The sequence below is a fragment of the Homo sapiens genome, chromosome 4, assembly GCF_000001405.40.
Source record: "Homo sapiens chromosome 4, GRCh38.p14 Primary Assembly".
Taxonomy (NCBI): domain Eukaryota; kingdom Metazoa; phylum Chordata; class Mammalia; order Primates; family Hominidae; genus Homo; species Homo sapiens.
The window spans coordinates 112,315,739-112,333,404 of NC_000004.12; the positions used below are offsets into that span (position 1 = coordinate 112,315,739).

The 17,666-nt window shown below is 38.9% G+C and overlaps 1 protein-coding gene across 3 annotated transcripts in view, besides 1 other annotated feature; it reads left to right on the forward strand.

The window, feature by feature from the left end:
• Positions 1-17,666, forward strand: part of ALPK1 (alpha kinase 1) — a 145,253-nt gene that overhangs the window by 18,370 nt on the left and 109,217 nt on the right. For all 3 annotated transcript variants that reach the window (NM_025144.4, NM_001102406.2, NM_001253884.2), the window contains exon 2: positions 63-114. The gene's annotated coding sequence lies outside the window, so the exon portion shown is untranslated. The remainder of the gene's footprint in view (positions 1-62; positions 115-17,666) is intronic.
• Positions 3,499-3,548: an enhancer, noted in NCBI's record as "active region_21827". NCBI's record gives its function as "activates an Ori minimal core promoter by ATAC-STARR-seq in GM12878 lymphoblastoid cells {active_cell/tissue: GM12878}" and the evidence as "EXISTENCE:reporter gene assay evidence [ECO:0000049][PMID:35858748]".

A 17,666-nucleotide genomic window follows, 5' to 3' on the forward strand; every position in this document is an offset into this window, starting at 1 on the left:
ATAGAGATTATTCCATCTTCTTATAACAAAGTCCTCTGTTTTTATGTCTTTTTCTTAACTAGGAAGTTCTTCTAAATCAGGAATGGATTGAAATCTAATGAACCGAAACTTTGGGTAAGTTTTCATATGAAACTTTTGAGTTAAGTTATTTTTTCCTAACTACATAGCAATACGTAGTCATTGTAGAAAATAGGAAGAGGAAAACAATAGAAAAGTACCACTTTAGAGGCAAACATTCCACATTTTATTGTATTTCCTTCTGATTATTCTTCAATAATTTTTAAAAATTGTGGTAAAATACACATAATATAAAATGTACCATCTGAACGATTTTAAGTGCACATTTCAATGGTATTAAGTACACTCACATTGTTGCACTGCAATAACTACCATCCATCCACAGAACTCTTTTTTATCTCACAAATTTGAAACTCTGCATCCAGTAAAGAATAACTCCCATTTCTCTCTTCCCCAGCCCCTGGCAAACACCATTCTCCTCTCTGTGTCTATCAGTGTGACTACTCTAGGTACTTCATATAAGTGATATCATGCTGTATTTGTCCTTTTGTGACTGGCTTCTGTCCTCAAGGTTCATCCATATGTCAGAATTGCCTTCCTTTTTAAGGTGGAATAATATTTTATTGCATGTACATACCAATTTTGTTTCTCCATTCATCCGTTCAGTGGACTGCTTCCATATTTTGGCTATTACTAATCATGTAATGGACATGGGTATATAAATATCTCCTTGAGTTCCTGCTTTCAATTCTTTTGGGTGTATGTAGAAGTAGAATTGCTAGATCATATGGTAATTCTATTTTTATCTTTCTGAGGAACTGCCGTACAGTGACAATACTGCATAAGATTTCTGATTTCTCCACATCCTTTCCAACATGTTATTTTCTGATTTTTTCATGGCAGCCATCTTAATGGGTGTGAGGTAGTGTCTCATTGTGCTTTTGATCTGCATTTCTGTAATGATTAGTGATATTGGGGACTTTTTCTGTACTTATTGGCCATTTGTATATCTTCTTTGGAGAAATGTCTATTCAAACTTTGCCCATTTTTTTTCAAGCTTTGTCTGCTTTATTCCACTACATTAAGTAAGGCAAAACAGTAACCTGTCATTCATAAAGATCAAGGAATGACTCGCATTCCCAAAAGGAACCAAAAAGGATGTTTCTTCACAAATGTGCATGACATTTATCATTATGCTGATAAGCACTTTAAACAACAACAAAAAAACTTTAGTGGATGAATCAAATAACAGATCCAAATTAACTTAGCTTTAAGTTTCCAAAATTGTAGTTTCAAATGCTAATGCTTTGCCCATTTTTTAATTGGGTTGTTTGATTTTTTTGTTGTTGAGTTACAGTTGTTCTTTATATACTCTGGATATTAACTCATTGTCAGATCCATGATTTGCAAATATTTTTTCTCATTTCATAGGTTTCCTTTTCACTCTGCTGATTGTGCCCTTTGATGCCCAGAGTTTTCAATTTTGATGTAGTCTAATTTATCTATTATTTATTTTGTTGCCTGTGCTTTCCATTTCATATACAAAAAATCACCAAACCCTACTTCATGAAGCCTTCCTCCTATGTGTTCTTCTAAGAGTTTTCTAGTTTTAACTCTTACATTTGTGTCTTTGGTCCATTATGAGTTAATTTTTGTATGTGGTGTTGTAAAGTAAGGGTCTCACTTCATTCTTCTGTATGTGGATATACAGTTTTCCCAATACCGTTTGTTGGAAAAAACTATTCTTTCCTCATTGGATGGTCTTGGCACTCTTGTTGGAAGTCATGTGACCCTATATATGATGGTTTATTTCTGGGCTTCTTATACATCGATGGTCTATACTACTGTTTGGATTACTATGGCTTCATTGTAAGTTTTGAAATCAGGAAGTGTGAGTCCTCCAATTTTCCTTTTTTTCAAAATTTTTTTAGCTATTCCAAGTCCCTTGAGATTCTATATAAATTTTAGGATGGATTTTTCTACTTTTGGAAGAAAATGTCAGTGGTTTTCGATGATTTTTTGCAGAGTTGCTATTACACTGTATGAACAATTTTATATTTTGCTTTGTCTTACTTAAAATTATTACATATATATACCATTACAAAATAAATGTTACTTATTATCCAAGCACTTCACAAACATACTTTACAGTGACTACATAAAGGAAATGTACAAATGGAAGTATAATTGAAAGGTCTGAAAATATGCCTCAAACCACAAGACGTGTGTGTACTTTAGATACTATCGTCATAAAAATGAGAAGAATTTGATTCAAGACATTTCAGGGTATTAGGATGTGATATTTATACTAAGTGAGTAGAAAGGAATTAATAAACAATTGTATTAGTTTAAAAGACCTTTTTAAAGTATATACTTACACTACTTTTGACTAACTACAACTCTGGGAATCATTTATTTACTCAACAAACATTTATTGATTCTCTATAGTTTCTGAAGTTCTGGGAACCTAGGTATGAATTAAATAGGGTCTTCACCCTCGGGGGAAGGAAATAAATGCTGAAATTTAATGAAATTTTCATGTGTCATGAACCTTTACTTGCTTATTAAATCTTTGCATCAGTCCTATGAGGAAGTGGTGTTAACTCCATTTAAAGATGAAGAAACGAGTGTTCATTTCAGAAAAGCTGAGCTACTTATTGAAGGTGACACAGATAGTGAGTGTCAAGGCTAAGTGATTAGCCCAGGGTCATTTGCCTCTGAAGCTCATATCCTTTTCACTTCTCCAGGTTGCTTCTGTCACTTATGACCTAACATGGAAGACTGGAGTATATGCAACTACCATGACAGCAATTAATTCTGCCATATTAGAGTCAAGAAAGTCTTTAGAGAAGTACCTTTATAACCTAAGACTTGAAAACTGATGAGTTTATTAGATAAAAATGGGGAGAGGAACATTCATTCATTCATTTATGTGTCCATTCACACAGCTTCTACAGTGTGCTAGTCACAGCATGAGAAGCTGAAATGAAAAAAATGAGTGAGACACTGTGGTCACCCACAGAAGTCACAGTCTACTGGGAGACAGTTAAGAAACTGAATTATGACAGAGCATGATGTTAGACTCTGCCATACTGTTGAAAACAGAGTCCTGGGGACACCATTCCAGAGTACTAAGGGCAAGTTCACAGTGGTAGAAGCGACACTAATGGCAGGTAGTGCTGAGCGTGGCAACTTGGACCCTCCATGCCAAGTTCAGGAGTTTGTGTTTCATCCTATAGGCAACAATGAGCCAGGAGTTTCTAAGTAGGAAAGTAACACCGTCAGTTCTGCTTTCTAAGAACCTATCTGGGCAGCACATGAAGCATAAAGAATGGGAACTGGGAAAGAGACAAGTGGCAGGAAGACCAGCCTGGAGGCTAGTGGTCCAAACTAAACAGGGAGAAACCCTGAAGCAGGCAGCAAGAAGAGAGACTGAGAAGCAAAGACCATACTTATGAGGTGAGGTTGGCAGCTTTGTTGCCTATAGGGTGTGTGCTGAGAGTAAGGAAGAATACAAGAGAACATGACCAAAGACTTTGGGGTCATGTACATGTTCAGAACCAGCATTGTTTGCAAGTTATGGACCCATGGAGCATTTAATAGATAAGGCTCTTTTGCATTAACAGTATTTCTATTTAGTCATTCTAAAATGACTATGTGTCTATTTTTATACCAACACCATGCTGTTTTGGTGACTATGGCCTTATAGTCAGAAAGTGTGATGCCTACGGATTTGTTCTTTTTGCTTAGTCTTGCTTTGGCTATGCTGGCTCTTTTCTGGTTCCATATGAATTTTAGAATTATTTTTTCTAATTCTGTGAAAAATGATGGTGGTACCTTGATGGCAATTGCATTGAATTTGTAGATTGCTTTTGGCAGTATGGTTATTTTCACAATATTGATTCTATCCACCCATGAGCATGGGATGTGTTTCCATTTGTTTGTGTCATCTATCATTTCTTTCAGCAGTATTTTGTAGTTTTCCTTGTAGAGGTTTTTCACCTCCTTGGTTAAGCATATTCCTAAGTAATTTATTTTTTTGCAGCTATTTTAAAAGGGGTTGAGTTCTTGATTTGAATCTCAGCTTGGTCACTGTTGATGTATAGCAGAGCTACTGATTTTGTGTACATTAATTTTGTATCCTGAAACTTTACTTAATTCATTTACCAGTTCTAGGAGCTTTTTGGATGAGTCCTTAGGGTTTTCTAGGTATACAATCATGTCATCAGCAAACAGTCACAGTTTGACTTCCTCATTACCAATTTGGATGCCCTTTATTTCTTTCTCTTATCTGATTGCTCTGGCTAGGACTTCCAGTGCTATGTTGAATAGAAGTTGTGAAAGTGGACATCCTTGTCTTGTTCCAGATCTCAGGGGGAATGCTTTCAACTTTTCCCCATTTGGTATGATGTTGACTATAGGTTTGTCACAAATGGCTTTTATTACCTTATGGTATGCCCCTTCTATGCCAATTTTGTTGAGGGTTTTAATTATAAAGAGATGCTGGATTTTGTCAAATGCTTTTTCTGCATCTATTGACATGATCATGTGATTTTTATTTTTAATTCTGTTTATGTGGTGTATCACATTTATTGCCTTGCAGATATTAAACTATCCCTGCATCCCTGGTATGAAACCCACTTTATCATGGTCGATTATCTTTTTTATATGCTGTTGAATTCTGTTAGCTAGTATTTTGTTCTGGATTTTTGCATCTATGTTCATAAGGAATATTGCCCTGTAGTTTTCTTTTTTTGTTATGTCCTTTCCTGGTTTTGATGTTAGGATGATATTGACTTTATAGAATGATTTAGGGAGGATTCTTTCTTTATCTTTTGGAATAGTTTCAATAGGATTGGTACCATTCTTCTTTAAATGTCTGATATAATTCAACTGTGAATTCATCTGGTCCTGAACTTTTTTTGTTGGTGGCTTTTTAGTTACCATTTCAATCTCACTCCTTGTTATTGGTCTGTTCAGAGTTTCTATTTCTTCCTGGTTTAATCTAGGAGGGTTGCATACTTCCAGAGAGTTATTAATCTCCTCTAGGTCTTCTAGTTCATGTGTGTAAAGGTTTTCAGTAGCCTTGAATGATCTTTTGTATTTCTGTGATATTGGTTGTAATATCACCCATTTCTTTCTTTTTTTTTTTTTTTTTGAGACGGAGTCTTGCTCTGTGGCCCAGGCTGTTGTGCAGTGGCGCGAGCTTGGATCACTGCAAGCTCCGCCTCCCAGGTTCACGCCATTCTTCTGCCTCAGCCTCCCCAGTAGCTGGGACTACAGGCGCCTGCCACCACGCCCGGCTAATTTTTTTGTATTTTCAGTAGAAATGGGGTTTCACCGTGTTAGCCAGGATGGTCTCGATCTCCCGACCTCATGATCCTCCCGCCTAGGACTCCCAAAGTGCTAGGATTACAGGCGTGAGCCACCGAGCCCAGCCAATATCACCCGTTTCTTTTCTAATTGAGCTTACTTGAATCTTTTCTTTTCTTGGTTAATCTCACTAATGGTCTAACAATTTTATTTAACTTTTCAAAGAGCCAGCTTTTCATTTCATTTATCTTTTGTCTTTTTTGTTTCAATTTCATTTAGTTCTGCTCTGATCTTTGTTATGTCTTTTCTTCTGCTGGGTTTGGGTTTGGTTTGTTCTTGTTTCTCTAGCTCCTTGAAGTATGACCTTAGATTGTCTATTTGTGTTCTTTCACACGTTTTCATGTAGGTATTTAATGCTATGAACTTTCCTCTTATCACTGCCTTTGCTGTATCCCAGAGGTTTTGTAGGTTGTGTCACTGTTATCATTCTGTTCAAAGAATTTTTAAATTTCCACCTTGATTTTATTGTTGACCCAACAATCATTCAGGAGCAGGTTATTTAATTTCCATGTATTTGCATACAACTATAATTTTAATCATTGATATATTGAAACATCATAGATTTTGGGACAGTGGATTAGTGAGTTTTTTCATAAGACAAAATTCAAAAAGATTAATGGATCTTTACTGAAATGAAATTCAAATACGAGTATTTGTCAGTTGCATAATATGCACTGCTATTTTAATGTTCCACAAAATTTTCCATTTTTACAGGCCATTACTGAGTCTTATAATTTATTTAGACCTGTTCTGTTGTGTAGAGTGTCACATTTGTTTTCATTAGTAAGTATAAACACACTAGTTAAAAGTGAAATTGCTTATACCTGTACTGATAAGTGCCACCAGTAGAGGGCGGCAGTGAGGCACTAGAAAGAAGAACCAACTTTACTGTCAGAAATTGCAGAAAACCGTCAAGATGGGGGTTGATGTGAATGACGGCAAACATTTGTTGGTGTTGGCATCCTCATTAACACCCAGACTGGCTTATTTTATGGGCCAGAAGCTTTGACATAAACATTGTCACAGAATTTTCAGATAATCTGATAATGTACTTATAAAGCAAATTTTGTGGAAATTTCTGGTAAGACTGATGAGAATCAACATTAAGAGATATTCTAAAAATTTTACATTATTTCAAAGAGACAAGAGTATGAATTAAAATTAAGCATGCTGTTCTTGTCACTTCAAGAGTGTAGGCAGAGAATTTAATACTTTAGAGATGACAAAAGGCATCTTACCTTCTTTGAACACTACAGATATCCCTGAAATAAAAAGAAATATTTCCAACTTATCAACAGTAAGCAATGCACAGGATTAATCAACAAGATAGGTTACCCAGATTTAGCTTGCATCTGCTTTTATAAACATTTAACAACAACAAATATTTTTTGAGCACCTACTATGTGCTAGGAGTTATTCAAGGTACTGAGGTTATAGAAGGGAACAAAACAAACTCATTTCCTGCCTTCTTGGAGTTTAAATTATAGTGAGGAAGACAGATATTAAACAAAGCTGCATAATTAATTCATTAGTTACAATGGAGAAAAACAAAAAATAGGAAACAATCTACCACAGGGCCCCAGATCAATGAGTTTGGCCTCAAATCAAAAAGGGGAAATTAAGTGAAATTGAAATAGGACTCAAGAACGAATTAAGTTCTTAATACCCATTTATGTCATTTATTTCCCTTAAAAATAAATAAAATAGATAAGGTAAAATTAACAGATTCATGGAAATAACATTACTAAAGAGTATTTGAGTAGCTGCTATACAGCAATAAAGTACTTTGCCAATGTAAAGTGTTGTTAAAATGCCCCATGCCTGCCTGAGCACCTAAACTTGATTAAAGTCTGTGTCAGTCATCAGCCCAGCCACAGCCACCCCTGAGAACCTGGACTTCCTGCTGACCGCAGTCACTTTCTACAAGGTCCCTCTGTGTCTTTGCTCTTGCTGTGCCCCACATCTCACCACATCTGTCTGATGTGCATCTCTTCACACTGCCATCCACCCCTGCTCCTCAGAGCCTACCCCTTTCACTTCCACTGTCTGGAGTCCTACCCATCTTTCAATGTCCTAGTCGGTCTTCTAAGCAAAGCGTATCTTAACTAAACCTCCTTTCCCTGTATAAAAAATCATTATTTTTTTCCTCAAAGTGGTAAATTAAACTACAAATCACAATCATTCTTTGCCCATTCTTTGCTTGGAATTTTGCTATATCTGAGCAGATTCAGTCTTTTATTTCAGACCTATTTGCCTGTCATCTCTAGTAAACCCTGAGCCCTAAAATTCCAGAACTATGTCTAATTCATCCTTATATCACCTTACAGATCCTGGCACATAGCAGGTATCCAGAAAATTTTGGTTAATTTGCATTATTGGTGCCACAAATCTTAATCTTTAACAATTTGATTTTTTTGAAAAGCATGGAATTGGTAATACACAGGCTATACGTTTTGGACAACATAGAACACACAAAAAATAAATGTATGTCAAATAAAGTTGCCATTTTTGCCTTTATCCTATTTCAGTTAAGATGAATATTTAGGAAATTACATAAAATTTTACTCTGTGAGAGGCTCATCTAGGAGTGAGGCAATTCTTGGAAAATATTAAGTTTGTCAGAGTCTGTAATTTGCTTCTACGCTCCTTATAAGCTAATGAGCTAGCCTGTTATTTCATGGATTTTGGCAGACGGCATGAAACTCCTGAGACAGAGACAAAAGGTTTTAGTACCCATAGTACATCAAGCAGCATGAACATCATGCTGACATCTGCTCCTCATGTCCTCCAAGTCCCACTGGAGTAGTAGTGAGTGGGCCAGTGGATGCTGTGCATGCAGTCAGTGGGTTTGTCTCTATTGCAGCCAAGGAACACTGGGCTTAGGGAGCCCACTGCTTTTATAAAAAGCCTGCTCTTGGCCAGGCGTGGTGGCTCATGCCTGTAATCCCAGCACTTTGGGAGGCCAAGGCGGGCGGATCACGAGGTCAGGAGATCGAGACCATCCTGGCTAATACAGTGAAACCCCGTCTCTACTAAAAATACAAAAAATTAGCAGGGCATGGTGGCAGGCGCCTGTAGTCCCAGCTACTGGGGAGGCTGAGGCAGGAGAATGGCTTGAACCTGGGAGGCGGAGCTTGCAGTGAGCCGAGATCATGCCACTGCACTCCAGCCTGGGTGACAGAGCAAGACTCCATCTCAGAAAAAAAAAAAAGAAAAAAAAAAGCCTGCTCTTTGTCCCAGTGAGAGACATGACCTCATTCCTCAAAGATGCTGCAAATTCTAATAAATTCCCAGGTAAGGAGAGGTTGGCCTGGCTTTTTTTGTTTGTTTGTTTGTTTGTTTTGTTTTGTTTTGTTTTTGTTTTTTCAGACAGGGTCTAACTCTATTGTCCTGGATGGAGTGCAGTGGCACAATCATAATTCACTGCGACCTCAAACTCTTGGACACAAGAAATCCTCCCTCTCAGCATCCTGAGTAGCTAAGACTATAGGTATGTGCCACCACTACAGGCTAATATTTTTATTTTTATTTTATCTAAGGTTCTCGCTATGTGCCCAGGCTGGCTTCAAACTCGTGGCTTCAAATGATCATCCTGCCTCAGCCTCCCAAAATGTTGGAATTACAGGTGTTAGCTACTGCACCAGGCCTGATCTCTCATTCTTGACATACACTGCAAGAACTTGCAGAGATGCCCAGAGCTTGTGGTAGATTGTCTGTCCCAAAAATATTCTGTGAAAGTAAGAATTGTAGTTACCCTGGAACATCAGAGGGGTTCAATAAATATTTGTTGAAGCAAATTGATTAATTAATGAGAAGAAGGAGAGTCACTGAGGAACCAAAAAAAAGGGGGGGGGGGGCAAATAGAGTGAATCCCTTGAGGGAATAGTTTCAAATTTCAGACCTGATAAGGAGGAAAAATCAGAAGAATAACAAAAGCTAAGACATTGTAGGCTACTTGGCTTTATAATAAAATATCTAAGCACATTACTTCATGGAAAATGAATCTAGGACTCACTATACAAAGTAATCACTGATGAAGTTCAAATAATCTAAGGTAATGCACCTATCTCCCTAAATCAGCACTGCAGTAATCACAGCTCTTTATATATGCAGGCTTTTGGCACGTACCAAATTTCTTTGAAAACTTTAGACACTATTCCCATTTACCAGCCATGATTTTTTTCCCCAAAATTGTAAATTGAACTACAAATCAAAGATCATATGAATAAATATGGTCAGACTTAAACAGTTCCTTAGAAATGTATAGTTAAGCAAATGAAATATCGTATCCTCTCAAGATTCCCTTGCAGGGCAGGAATTAAGCTGAAATATTTTGTGATGGTATTAGAAGTGAGGGACTTGAGGTATATTTAGGTCATTCACATTCAAAGTCCAGACTGGTGAGTAGAGTTCACATTCACATTGATAATTGTAAATACTCCTTCTCCGGACCACTGTGGCCCTCGTGTCCATAAAACTTACGGGGCAATCGTACGGCGTTTTGTTATCACACATCTCAACTTTTAGCCTCCCTGCCCCACTTTGTCCTGGATGCCTTCCAGTCTTCATGAGCCACTGCTGTAGTATCACTGCTCTCCATCTGCTGCTCTCATAATTGGAGATTGATTGCCTCCAGGGTTCACAAATGTTTCAGGCAACCTTAAATGATTTGAGTTTTTAAGCAACCATGAATTTTTCAGGCACTCCAGGGAAGGCCTTGTTTTAAGATTCATAATTCCCCTCTTCTCTTCTGTCCCTTCTACCCTCCCAAAGGATTTCACCCAGGCTTCCCTAAGGCCCTGAGTGAGAGGCTGTGTGAGCGAGCAGTGCCTTACTCAAAGCCTCCCCTCACACTCAAACTGGTGTCTCTGGCTGAGCCATCAAAGCCTTTCCTACCTCAGCATGAGTGCCTGGCCTTCCTAGGGCTCTTTCCCCTTTCCTCAAGTTTATGGAAACCATCATCCCTTTATCTTTGAAAGTCTTTGCAGTAGAGATGATCATCATTTCTTTCACCAGTCAGTTTTTCCTTCCCAACATCCCATTTTTACATAATTTATTTTTCCTTGACTTGAGATTGTCCATGCAAACCTCCCTGCTACAAGCCCCTTTGCTGTACACCTGATTAAATGCTGGAAGGAACAAGCCATGCGTTGTGCTAAGATTTTATCTTTAAACTAAGGACGCTGCAACTGAGTTAGTTTCTGTTAAATGCTTGAGTCGAGGGGTCATGCAAAGCCATCATAAATAGGTCAGATAAAGATGGTCTACAGAGAGAAATGAAGCAGACTTTTTCTGTTTCATTTACATCTGTAGGTACTCTTGCCCCACCTACCTAGCATGGTGCCTGACACATAGTAGGCATTCAAGTCTTAATGGAATGAATAAATCATACTGTGGAGAGAGAGAAAGAAAGGGAGGCAGGCTTCCACTAACAGCTTTCCATTTCCTTGTTCTAATCCCACATGAGGACTGTCTGCATTTCCCATCCTCATGTCCATCAATACATTCCCCTTTATGCCAAAACTAGTTTGGGTGTCTTTAATTTCCTAATGGTCTTCTTAAAAAGCAACCTCCGAAGAAAAATGTGACAGAACTCCAACTTGAGGATGCTTTTGCAGAGCAGGCCTTAGCCCCTATGTGTACGTAAATCTAGGCATTGTTGATTGAACAGGGATTCATTTAGAGCCCATAGGGAGGACTCCAAATGAATAGAGGTCTGATCAGGAGGCATTTGCCAAGTTAAGCTCCAGGAAGAGGAAGAGTGGGTTACAGTTTCACCTTGGACTTCTGGAATGCTGCTGGACTAACGTGGTGGTGCAGGAGGCTTCTCTGCATTTCTGCCTGTACCCTCAGTCACTGTGCAGTAGATCAAGAAGGGTCATTCTTTCCTACTCAGTGAAGCAGTAGGGAGACGGCCCCTGCCCAGGAGAGTATATTTCAAAGTGAGGGGGAGAGGGTAGTTGAAAAGCCATAGACAGTCATTCTAGGTTTGAAATATAGAAAAATAAAATATTCAGAGACAGTGTGGTGAATTTGTTCACAGTGCAGGTTTGAAGGGAGACAGATCTGCATTCCAACACCAACTCTGCAACTTACTGACAAGCTCTGTGATCTTTAATAAACTGCATCACCTCTTGTAGCCTCAGATTTCTCATCCACAAAATGAGAATAACAAGACTTCATAAATTTGGCATAAGTAATAAACATATGTAAGTTGATAGCAAGCTAAGTGTTCAGTAAATGGTGGGTACTGTTAGGATTGTTAGTGCTTTTGTAATAAAAACATTAGTGAAAAGTGTTTTCTGTTTTGATTTTTGAAGAGACAGGGTTTCATTCACTCTGTCACCCAGGCTAGAGTGTGGCAGTGTTATCATAGCTCACTATAACCTTGAACTCCTAGGCTTAAGGGATCCCCCCGACCTCAGCCTCTGGACTAGCCAGGACTACAGGCGTGCACAACCGAGCCCTGATAATTTTTAAAAATTTTTTTTGTAGAGATGGGGTCTCTACAAACAATGTTGTCTAGGCTGGTCTCGAATTCCTGGCATCAGGTGATCCTCCTGCCTTGGCCTCCCAAAGCACTGGGATTACAGCTGTGAGCCACCAGGCCCAGCCAAAAGTGTGATACTTTTATGTTAACAAAAAAGAGTGAATTTTTCTAACAAGTTAAGAAATATGGCACTAAAACATATACTTAATAGCTCTTTTTCACTATTACCTTTTAACCCTCAATCCCTGAGTGGTAATGTAAAAGAAGAGTGCAGTCAATATCTAACAAGACAGTAGTTACGCAGTAATAGTCATCAGTTGTGGCATCAATCAAGAATTAGTAGTATCAACTCCCTGAATAGGAGGCACACGTGAATTCTCATATACAATCTTCTGAAGACCTTAAAAGCAATTTGTAAATGATATGACCTGTAGATGGCGAACTTGGATAGGGGGAATATTAAGCAATGACTAAAAAAGAAAGCAGTGGTTTTTGTTTTGTTGATGACAGGACTTAGTAAAGTCGATACATTAATAAGTTCTCTTTATGACCACAGGCCCAAAGATTCTTAGCTGACACACCAGGTTCCTTCTGTCTGTGGGCAAGAGCCCACTCGCGGTCATGCCCACTGTTGTGGGACTAGACTGCATTAGCTGCTGGTAGAAACGTTTTGGCTCTGTTCGCACTGGCTGCTAGTCACTGATACAAGAGCAAGAAGTATCAAATGGGGAAGGTAAATAGCTTTCCTGGAAGTCTCTTGGCAGGGTACAGAAATGCATACGTAACACTACTTAATTATCTGACTACATCCTACATGTCCAAAGTATCCACATCTTTTGATTTAGATAAATAGTTATACTCTCCCTTGCTGCTTGTTGCCATTGTTGAGTATTTGTTCTTCACACTGTCCAAGGCAATCCTTTAGGGACCAATTACCATCCTTTATTGACATCATTTCACTGGCTGACAGAGACTTCTGGAGTGCCACACTGGGCATTCAGGACTCCTAAGAAAGCTCTTTAATACTTTTGTGTAATCTCTATGCCTTACATGAGAAATATGAATCTTTTTTCCTTAAAATTCTACTTTGGAGGACTAGTTTTACTGTCCCGGGTCACAATTGCATATATGTGGATTTGTGGGAAAATTAGTGTGACTTCCAAAACTGTGCCTGCTCATGCAGTGGCCTGGGATGTTTTGTTGATTCTTTCAGCTGTGAAACAGCCCAACATCCCACCCAACATGATAGATTGATGACCTTGTACTACATTATAAAGCAGGGTCATTATCCCCAGAGAGCCTCGCAGCTTGTGGGTCAGGTGAAGGGACGTCACTAGGCTTCCACAGTGCCTCTGCTCCGTCATTTATCACAAGGCTGTAATCATTTTCTACACATTGGCCTCCCCACAAATGTGTGCTTCTAGAGTCCAGAAACTGTGCCGTTTTCATCCCTTTACCCTTCACATTGTGAAGCACTGGCATATAGTAGGTACCTATGAAAATGTTGAATGAATGAAAGAATAAATATACATGCTTGGGAAGAACAAGAAGGCAGGAAGGAGGAAAAATCAGTTTAGGGGAGAAAAAGAGGAAAATAATCCAAGCACTTACGGAGAATTGTACCCATATTAGACAAACATTATTCCTAAACAATAGAAAAAGAGAAAAGCTGAGTAGATTGTGTATAGTCCAATCCATTTATTTTTACCAATCAAACTCTGAAGAGACTGACTTATAACTGAAATGCTAGTTCACTGTTACCAGTGAAGAACACGTCTTTCTAGAAACTACAATGTTTGTGTTCACTGAGAACATTACCCCTGCCCAGACCCACGTATTTCACTTCTTTATTTCAAAACAAAGAAAGCCCTTGGCTCTCAGGATGAGGCCATTTTGGTTTTGGGGTAGCTTGTAAAAGCCATGAGGTTCCAGTTAACCTAAAATATGAAAGTATAAAAGTTATCAGAGAATTCAGAAATTATAAGATGTTATCTAAGGGTTGATTTGGATTTAAAGGCACCCATTAGTAGAAGGCAGACTTTAGGGGATGGGAGTGAGGAACAATCAGAAATAGGCTCTGGAAGACAGTCCAAATAAGAGCAGGAATCCATTACCCCATGGCACTGCTCATGAGGTTGACAATGGGCCATCTGACGTGAAATCACAGCAATGGTCAAGGACATGAAGACACACACAAGGGTGGGAGGGGTATAGGCCTGTCATGTCTGTACATGGTAAGTACTCAATAAATACTGGTCGAATGAACAGGCTACTGTGTGACAGAGTTGCTAAGGGGAAGCCACAAACTACTTCACTAAAGGCGCAGTTTATTTACTTACTTACGTATTTACTTAAGTACATATGAAAAGGAATTGAAGTGACATGCACTACTAAAATGTACCAAAATCCAATGTAAGCAAAAGTTAAATTGAAAAACGCTGATTAGAAACCATTTAGAATAAATGAAGAGAGCAGCTTGGGTCCTGGAAACCTGTGTTGAATGAATCATAAAGTAGAGCTTACAGAAAGTTCTGAGCTTCCAGACAACCAAGTCAAAAGAGGAACAAGCTGGATTTGTACATCTTTCATTAGTTAGTAAAGGGGTGTGTATAAGTTCCTCTGTAAATGCAGACTTATTTTTGGAACTTAATTCCAAGAAGAATTTATTGCATGGACACTTAAATAAGAGAAAGGAGACATTTGGCAACAGTTTTATAAAAGTACCTACATGTCATTTACAGCCTAAGCTATAAAGGTAATCACCACCAGTGTAGCCTGTATAAATTAATACACAACAGGGAGAGGGGAAAAAGGAAATGGGTTAAGGTATGAACATATGCACTACCACCCAAAGAGGGAAATATGAATATTGGCTACGGTCCTTGTTTTCGCAACTGGTTAAAAGGCTAGAGTTATAATCTACTAAATCTAGTACTCCCAGTGATGTGAGAGGTTCCACTCCTGCTTCTTCCCTTTGATTCCTGGACCCATGTGGCCTGTCCTTGGGTGAAACAAGACCATATATTGGTTGTTGATTCAGAGCATATACTATTTTCTCTATACCAGTACCCATGCCTTATGTCTTCCAGCCGGCTCTAAAACAGAATGTGTAATAGATTATTGCTTTGCTCTGTTAAGGCCAGCTGCTCCAGGGTTATGGTATGACCGATCGATGAATCCTGTGGGAAATGCCCTGCCCTATAGCATCCTTGGCCAGAGGCAGTGTTGTATGGACTAATGTGGGTGAATTAAGCTTTCAGTAAGTCCACAGACGGTATTGCTAAGAGAAGCATAGCAAGGGAGCCAAACCTACATCCAGAACACATGTCCATTCCAGGGAGAAAAACTGCTACAACTCCATGATGAAAGAGGTTCACTATGATCAGCCAACAGGAGGTTAGCTGTTCCCTCCTCATCCCTCAGGTTTAGAGCTAAATGGAGGGCTCACTATGCTGGCGTTTCAAGCATTCAATAGTGGTGTGGTAGCCAGATTTGCTGTGGTAAGGGGAACTTCATGTGGTTGAGTCCATGCATAACCTTCATCTTTGTCACCATGGCCACTTTGTTCTTGAACTCATCGAGGAACAATAGTGAGAGTAGGGAGACAGGAAAACGGACATGTGCAGTACTGGTCTTTTGCCCGCTGATTATTGAGAGGGTGTCTTCTGCAGTGGGAGACCTTTGGTGGACATTTACATGGGGCACAAGTATTCTGATATCATAAACCCATTCTGAGAGGTCCATCCATATCCATACGTGTATCTCTACCCTAAACCTCCTTGTCATCATCCTTCAATCTTCTTCCTTTCAATTTTCTCATCATCTAACCCAACCTTTCAGCTCTGTCTTTGAATTGCACTGTGATTATCTTTCCTTGCAGGCAAAGTATACAATTTGAGGTACCACTCAAAGTCTGTTTATTGGGAGGATTTATCTTCTCACTTGTTTCTCATGGCTGACAGTGAGGAGAGCTCCAATGCTGTATCAGTTTACATATGACAGTGTATTATGCATAAACATCAGTAAATCAGCCTTGGACATTTTCTATCCTGTCCATAGAGAAATTCCCATTACACTGTATATGTGGGTCTAAGGAGATGTGGCATCACAGCAAGACTAGAAGGAGAGTTTGAGCCACTTGCTCATGAAACTTTCTTATGCCTTTAGCAGTTGTGAAGTCTGATCTTGTATATATCTCTTCAACTTGATTATGGAGAGCTGCTGTGCACATCCACATTTTCAAATAGGTCAATCAAGTCGCATCTGATTCAGGTGGGCAGCTTGGGTCTCATACATAATCAGTTGATTTCCTATGTCTAGACACTCAGTCTCTACCAGTACCAAATAACAACCACTAAGTGAGGTTTCTCAAGGAAAATAGCTATTTGCCAAAGAGGTATGACTTTACGCTCAAGTCTGGGATCTGTACTATTATTATCTTATTCAGGAGTTCCATAGGATCAATATGGTATCCTGATTTGCCACAGTCACTCACTCTACGGTCCCAAGGGCTAAGTGGCAAGAGAGGTTTATTCTTTAAACTGAACTGGCAAAAGAATATTATTTTGTTTGGGACCTTCCTTAAATATAAAGCCTATGGTTTATCAATAAGGAGGAAGGAAGAATACCAGTTAATTTGCCTGTATAATACTGAAAGTCCACCAAGTATTTGTGCCTCTTTCTTCCTAGAACTGGACGCAAGAAGGTACAGCAAATTGACTTTCACAATTTGAAGGGGATATCTCAATATACTCCAGATCTCTAGACCCCCAGAAACATCAATGAGTTAGTAGATCTCTGAACTTTTATGGAATTTTTCTCTTATCCTTAGTCACATATATGTCTTGCCAAGGCATTTTGTGTATTTGCTAATTTATGCTCAGCAGATTCATTGACTGGTTGCCATCAATTACATGGCCATGGTCTATGTCCTGTGAAATGGTGAAATGATCAAGGTCCCTGAATACTAGGTTATGACACAGTACAGTCAGGGAGCCAATGTAGGAATTCTGCCACTTGCTGAGTAAGGTCTTCTCTAATTCTAAATACAGGAACTTGGAAAATAAATACAGGATGAATGCTTGGACCCAGAATGAACACACTGAGATAGATTTTGTCAAATATTCCATTTATCACCCAACCCTCTTAAGCTTTTCTTCTGATTGTTGGACTGTAGTGGTGTTATATGTCCCTGGAGTTAACTGTAGCTCAGAGACAATTCCAATAATCCCTAAAACTTCTAACTATTTTAGTTTCTTCATTGTACATTTACCCTCGTGAATTACTGCAGATCACTTTGGGGAATGCTAAAAGGAAGCCTTTTGATGCACTTTCAAAGAACTTGGCTTCAAGGGTCCCCAGTCTCCATTTCATGGAAGGGGCTTTTGGTCTATGAACCAACTCAGTTCTGGGAAGTAAGAGACTATGAGACTGTGGTCCCTCAAGCCACACTTCTATTTGCTAGGGTTAGGATTTTCAATTATAATACATAGATGAAGTAAAACCTTAGTGTACTGCCCATGTATTAAAGCTGAAGCTAAAGGTCCTTGCAGGTCAAACCATTCTGATTACTGATCTGGCCCTGCATAATTATGCCCACCTTGCCTCTTGGTTTATGCCTCTCCAATATCCTCTCAATTCTAAAGAGTATATCATGGAGTACATTTCTACTTTCATTCCCAGATTACAAAGTATAGTTGCCATCTTGCTTTTTAGTGATGTGTGCTTTCTCACTAATATGTTTTGTAATGCCTTGTTACTAGGACTATCCCTGGAACATAATTAG